Raw genomic sequence first — 6,207 nt, 5'->3', positions numbered from 1 at the left:
GGGGCGTGGGGGTAGGTATGTTGGATCTTGGAAATAAGTGAGAGTGTTAAAGAAGCACAACAATCTGTATCAGTGAATTTACATCTTAGAAGACTCACATTAACTTATGCTTGAATGAAAACCGTGTGTGGATAACTGAATGCAGCGTTTTCTGAACTGCCCTGAAGGACGGCTTAAAAGGAGAAGGAAGCCACTCGCCCATTTAGTGTTCTGAAAGGTCTTTTCCCCTAGGACCCATTCATGCCTCCCTTCATCAAGCCCCCATCCTTCGAGGGTTCCAGAAAATGAGCCCCGGAGCAGATGATTGAGGGAGGGCACGCCTAGGTCTCCATTCCCACGGTTCTTGGTAGCTGATTCCTCAGTCCCCTTGGCTGCCACCCACCCAGTCTTCTGGGGCCCAGTCATTCCTCAGCCCACCCTCCTGCCCCCACTCCCTGAGCCACTTGTCCTTCACTCTTTATCCTCAGAAACTCTCCCACCTTCTATCCCTCCACGTCAGCTTCTCCCAGCCTTCCAAAGACATCATGACCTAACTTGATCGTTTTGGAGGTGGCATCTGTTGGCAGAATAAGCACAGACTCAGATGCTATATTACCTATCTATTGCTGCACAACAGATAACCCCCAAAATAGTGGCTTAAAACCATAACCATTCAGTATTTCACAGTTCTGGTAGGTCATGAATTCGGAAGCAGCCTAGCTGGATGGTTCTGGCTCAGAGGCTCTCATGGGTTGCAGTCAAGGTGAGGATGTTGGCCAAGGTTGCCATCACTGGAAGGCTTGACTGGGGCTGGCAGATCCGCTTCCAACTTGGCTCACATGGCAGGAAGCTTGCAAGGTGGGCTTCTCCACAGGGCTGTGTGAGTGCCCTTGCAATAGGGCACTCGGCTCCCCCAGGCTGATGATCTGAGAGAGAAGACAAGGAGGGAGCTACAGTTCCTTTGATGTCTTACTCTCAGATGCCACAGGCCGTCATCTCTGCCAGATTCTGCACTCATCTCTACATTCTCTAGAAGCCAACGACCAGTTACAACCACCCTTGGGAGCAGGAGAATGAGGCTTGGTCTGTGGAAGGGTGGAGCACCAAAAAATCTGTGGACATGTTTTTAAACCACCACAGATCCTTACTCATCCATTTTTTCTGACCACATGAGGTAGGCGAGTCACACTCCTAACCCTTGGATTCTTCTTCTCTAAAATGAGAACAATACTGTCTTCTTGAAGAGTACTTACGTGGCTTCAAGACAGTGTTGGAAACCTTCTAGCCCAACCATATCTGGCACACAGTAGGTGTTCATAAATAGGAGTTATTGTTATCCAGGCTCGGGGAGACCCAAAGCAAGAGTCTCTGCTGACAGCATGGGTGAAGGTGGAACTCCAACAGGGTGGTGAGGGGGTTTTGGGGAGAGGCAGTCCCACAGGACAGGAAACATCCTGTGCTGCTCCTGGCTGGGTCCGCGGATGAGCCAAGATGGGAATTAGACTCATCTGCCTCTCAGCTGGAGGCTACCACTTTGTTTCTCTCCTACTTTCCACCAGAATAATGGTCCCCCTCAAAGACATCCATGTCCTAATCCCCAGAACCTGTGGCTATGTTAGCTTACGTGGCGAAAGGAACCTTGCAGATGGGATTAAGGTAAGGATCTGGAGTTGGGGAGATGACCCTGGCCAATCTGGATGGGCCCAATGTCATCACAAAGGTCTTTCTAAGAGGGAAGCGGGAGCTCAGAGAGGAGAGGAGATGCCACACCACTGGCCATGAGGGTGCAGGAAGGAGCCATGAATCTAGGACATAGCTGGTCTGTGGAAGCTGGAAAGGACAAGGAAATGGATTCTCCCCAAGCCCTTCCAAGAAGAGCCAGCCCTGCTGACGCCTTGACTTTGACCAATGAGACTGATTTTTGGACTTCTGACCTCCAGCGCAGCAAGACAGAAACTCCACTCCAGAACGGAGCAGCCAAGGGCGCAGGGCTCTGTCTTCCCCAGCACCCAGTGGGAGGGCTGCCTTCCCAAGAGAAGCAGCATGCCAGCATTTCTCCTCCTGCCCCCAGTTCCTGTTGCTGAGGCTAAGTTCTGGGCAGGGACAGGCGAGAGTTGGGGGCTCCCTTCATCCTCCTGCCCCCTCGTGGGATGGAGGCCCTACCCGGGCCCCATCCTGGGATGTGAATACTGGCACCCTGATGGCCTGTCCTGGCTCCTGAGGCAGAGTTTCCGTGCTGGGAGAGGCAAACCAGGGAGACCAGAGGCTACTGTGGACCCTTGCACCAAGCACTCAGTCCTAAAGCTGAGGCGTCACTCAGGGAAACATGCCGTTGTTCCCAGGCCAAGACAGAAACTAGATTCATGGTTGTCTAGGACTGGGAAGTTTGGGAGACTATGGGAGGATAGCTAAAGGACACAGGGTTTCTTCTGGAGGTGATGAAAATACAGTTGTCTCTCAGGATCCATGGGCTCCAGCACACCAAGATCTGAGGACACCAAAATCCGAGGATGCTCAAGTCCCTGACATAAAATGACACAGTAGGCCGGGTGTGGTGGCTCACACCTGTAATCCTGGCACTTTGGAAGGCTGAGGCGGGTGGATAACTTGAGCTCAGGAGTTCGAGACCAGCCTGGCCAACAAGGTGAAACCCCTTCTCTACTAAAAATACAAAAATTAGCTGGGCGTGGTGGTGCACACCTGTAATCCCAGCTACTCGGGAGGCTGAGACAGGAGAATCACTTGAACCCAGGAGTCGGAGGTTGCCATGAGCCGAGATCATGGGTCTCATTTTGTCACCCAAGCTGGAGTACAGTGGCACAATCATGGCTCACCGCAGCCTTGAACTCCTGGGCTCAAGCGATCTCTTGCCTTAGCTTCCTGAGTAACTGGGACCATAGGCGTGTGCCACCACACCTGGCTAATTTTTTTTATTTTTTATTTTTTTGTAGCGACAAGGTCTCACCATGTTTTCTAGGCTGATCTCAAACTCCTGGGCTCAAGTGATCCTTCTGCCTCAGCCTCCCAAATTGCTGGGAATACAGGTGAGCCACTTCGTCTGGCCCATTTTGTGTTTCTTTAACTTTGGTCACCTATGCTGTGTTGTGTCCTGTGCTGAGCTTAAACTCAGGTGGGTGTAATGCTGACATCTCAGAGTCAGCCCCACGGATTACCAGCTAACCAGGGCAAATGTTTGGCTATTTATAAGACAGAGAAGAAGTAATCCCCAGGGTAAAACCAGAGGCCATCAAATGCAGTGGACTAAGCTACCGTGTAGAGGTGTGGGGGGAGGGGCTAGCCTTGGACCACTGATCACCACAGGGATAGCTCTGGCTGGCTGCTACCCCATCTGCATGTGGACTTTCTCTGCAGGATGTGGCAAAGGATGGTGAGCCACATACTCAGATTGAGTCAAGAATCTCATTTTTGTAAAAATAATGTATATAAAGCACCCCTGGGTGTTTTAGTAAATATCAGTGTTGATTCTATCCGACTTGTATTATCATTCCAGATGGTACAGCTGAGCCAAACCACCAGTCAGTCCTTCCCAGTTTGTGTCTTTGTGGCTGTTTGAGGCTCTAACTGGTGCTGATGAGTGCATCAAGAGCTCACAAGTGGCTGGGTGTGGTGGCACACACCTGTAATCCCAGCTACTCGGGAGGCTGAATGTGGAGGATCTGTTGAATCCAGGAGGTTGAGACTGCAGTGAGCTATGATCACACCACTGCACTCCAGCCCAGGTGACAGAGAGAGACCCCATCTCTTAAAAAAAAAATCAAAAATTAGACCAGGTGCAGTGGCTCATGCCTGTAATCCCAGCACTTTGGGAGGCCAAGATGGGCAGATCACTTGAGGTCAGGAGCTCGAAACCAGCCTGACCAATATGGTGAAACCCCGTCTCTACTAAAAATACAAAAATTAGCCAGGTGTTGTGGCGGGTACCTGTAATCCCAGCTGCTCAGGAGGCTGAGGCAGGAGATTCGCTTGAACCCGGGAGGTGGAGGTTGCAGTGAGCTGAGAACACGTGACTGCACTCCAGCCTGGGCGACAAAGTGAGACCCTGTCTCAAAAAAAAAAAATTAAGGTCAGGCGCGGTGGCTCACACCTGTAACCCCAGCACTTTAGGAGGCCAAGGCGAGCGGATCGCCTGAGGTCAGGAATTTGAGACCAGCCTGGCCAACATAGTGAAACCCCGTCTCTATTAAAAATACAAAAATTAGCCGGGTGTGGTGGTGGACACCTGTAATCCCACCTACTCAGGAGGCTGAGGCAGGAGACTTGCTTCAACCTGGGAGGCGGAGGTTGCAGTGAGCTGAGATCATGCCACTGCACTCCAGCCTACGTAATAGATCAAGACTCCGTCTCAAAAAAAAAAAAATTAAAATTAGAAAAACTCACAGGAAACAGATTAAGGTCACCCTGGGTCCCTCCATTGGTTCAAGTACAAGTGGCTAAAAAACAACCAAAATAGTAGATAGACCAGCCTGGCCAGAAGCCAGAAGCAGCCTGTGGTGGAAGGAAGACCCAGGGGAAGCCTCTGCCTCAAAGTCCCACCTGCTCAGCAGGTCTGCTCCCACCTCTCAGTGCTGCCTGAGTGCCAATCATTAGAGCATCAGACCTCTCTGGTCCTCAGTGTCCTTATCTGTAAAACAGGGGTAATGTTATCCTTCAGTCAGTTTTTCTCTGTAACAGTTCCTAAGGCTGCAGAAGACTGGAACATTCTCTGGGGTAATTCTTTATACTGTAGAGTCTAAAGAAAGTGTCTATAGAGTTGGGATGCTCCAAAAGCATAGTAGTTATTAATAGGCTGCCAAGACTGTGGGAGGGTGTAAAGCCAGTTGTACGCAACAAAGCTTTGAAAGGCAGCCTAGAACAGGAAGCGTCAGCATGTGCTGCAGACGTCAGGCATGGTGGCCCTGCATGAGATGTGGGCAGAGGGGAAGGCGCAGGCCTGGGCAGTACTTCACAATTTGGGCCTCAAGAGCTCCCCCCACCTCTACAGTGTGGTTATTATTAGGACGAGAAGGAGGTGCAGTAGACTGAAAAAATCCTCAGCTCAATGTACAAGGCTTCCCACGTTGCTGCAGGTGACCTATTTTGGATGCAGAAAAGCATGGTGATGCTGGGTGCGGTGGCTCACGCCTGTAATCCCAGCACTTTGGGAGGCCGAGATGGGTGGATCACGAGGTCAGGAGATCAAGACTATCCTGGCTAACATGGTGAAACCCCGTCTCTACTAAAAATACAAAAAAATTAGCCGGGTGTGGTGGCGGGCACCTGTAGTCCCAGCTACTCGGGAGGCTGAGGCAGGAGAATGGCGTGAAGCCAGGAGGTGGAGTTTGCAGTGAGCCAAGACCACGCCACTGCTCTCCAGCCTGGGCAACAGAGCGAGACTCTGTCTCAAAAAAAAAAATTAAATTAAATTAAATTTAAAAAAAGCATGGTGATAGGGATAGTAATTGCTAGCAATTTGAAAAACCTAGCAACTCTCCGGTGTCTTATCTGATCAGACATGGAAGCCATGTATAATCTTGGCCCACCTTGAATTGCTGTTGACCCTAAGCATATGAGCAAGTTCTGCAAAGCTCCAGTTAACAGTGTGAGGCTCTTTAAACAGGGATTCACACAGGAGCGCCAACTGCATTTCTTTTCTTTTCTTTTTTTTTTTGAGACGCAGTCTCACTCTGTTGCCCAGGCTGGAGTGCAGTGGTGCCATCTCAGCTCACTGCAACCTCCGCCTCCTGGTTTCAAGCGATTCTCCTGCCTCAGCCTCCCAAGCAGGTGGGATTACACATGTGTGCCACCATGCCCAGCTAATTTTTCTATTTTTAGTAGAGATGGGGTTTCACCATGTTGGCCACGCTGGTCTCGAACTCCTGACCTTGTGATCCGCCCATCTCAGCCTCCCAAAGTGCTGGGATTACAGGCGTGAGCCCCCGTGCCCGGCCCACCAACTGCATTTCTAATGCTTGATTTGTTCAGCATAGTGGTAGCATGCAGGTGTTCATGATAGTATCCTTATGCCCTTTGCATGTATGAAATATTTCATAATGATTTTTTAAAGGACAGCATAGGCTGGGTGTGGTGGCTCATGCCTGTAATCCCAGCACTTTGGGAGGCCAAGGCGGGTGGACCACTTGAGCTCAGGAGTTTGAGACCAGCCTGGCCAACATGGTGAAACCCCGTCTCTACTAAAAATACAAAAATCAGCCTGGCACGGTGGCACGC

At 50.6% G+C, this 6,207-nt stretch overlaps 2 annotated features.

Annotated features, from left to right (window-relative positions):
• Positions 1,247-1,746: an enhancer, noted in NCBI's record as "H3K27ac hESC enhancer chr14:91312409-91312908 (GRCh37/hg19 assembly coordinates)". NCBI's record gives its function as "activates a minimal SCP1, AML or CMV promoter by ChIP-STARR-seq in naive H9 embryonic stem cells {active_cell/tissue: H9 hESC(naive)}" and the evidence as "EXISTENCE:reporter gene assay evidence [ECO:0000049][PMID:30033119]".
• Positions 1,747-2,248: an enhancer, noted in NCBI's record as "H3K27ac hESC enhancer chr14:91311907-91312408 (GRCh37/hg19 assembly coordinates)". NCBI's record gives its function as "activates a minimal SCP1, AML or CMV promoter by ChIP-STARR-seq in naive H9 embryonic stem cells {active_cell/tissue: H9 hESC(naive)}" and the evidence as "EXISTENCE:reporter gene assay evidence [ECO:0000049][PMID:30033119]".

The sequence above is a fragment of the Homo sapiens genome, chromosome 14 (assembly GCF_000001405.40).
Source record: "Homo sapiens chromosome 14, GRCh38.p14 Primary Assembly".
NCBI lineage: Eukaryota > Metazoa > Chordata > Mammalia > Primates > Hominidae > Homo > Homo sapiens.
This window is presented reverse-complemented; position numbering and strand designations above follow the sequence as displayed.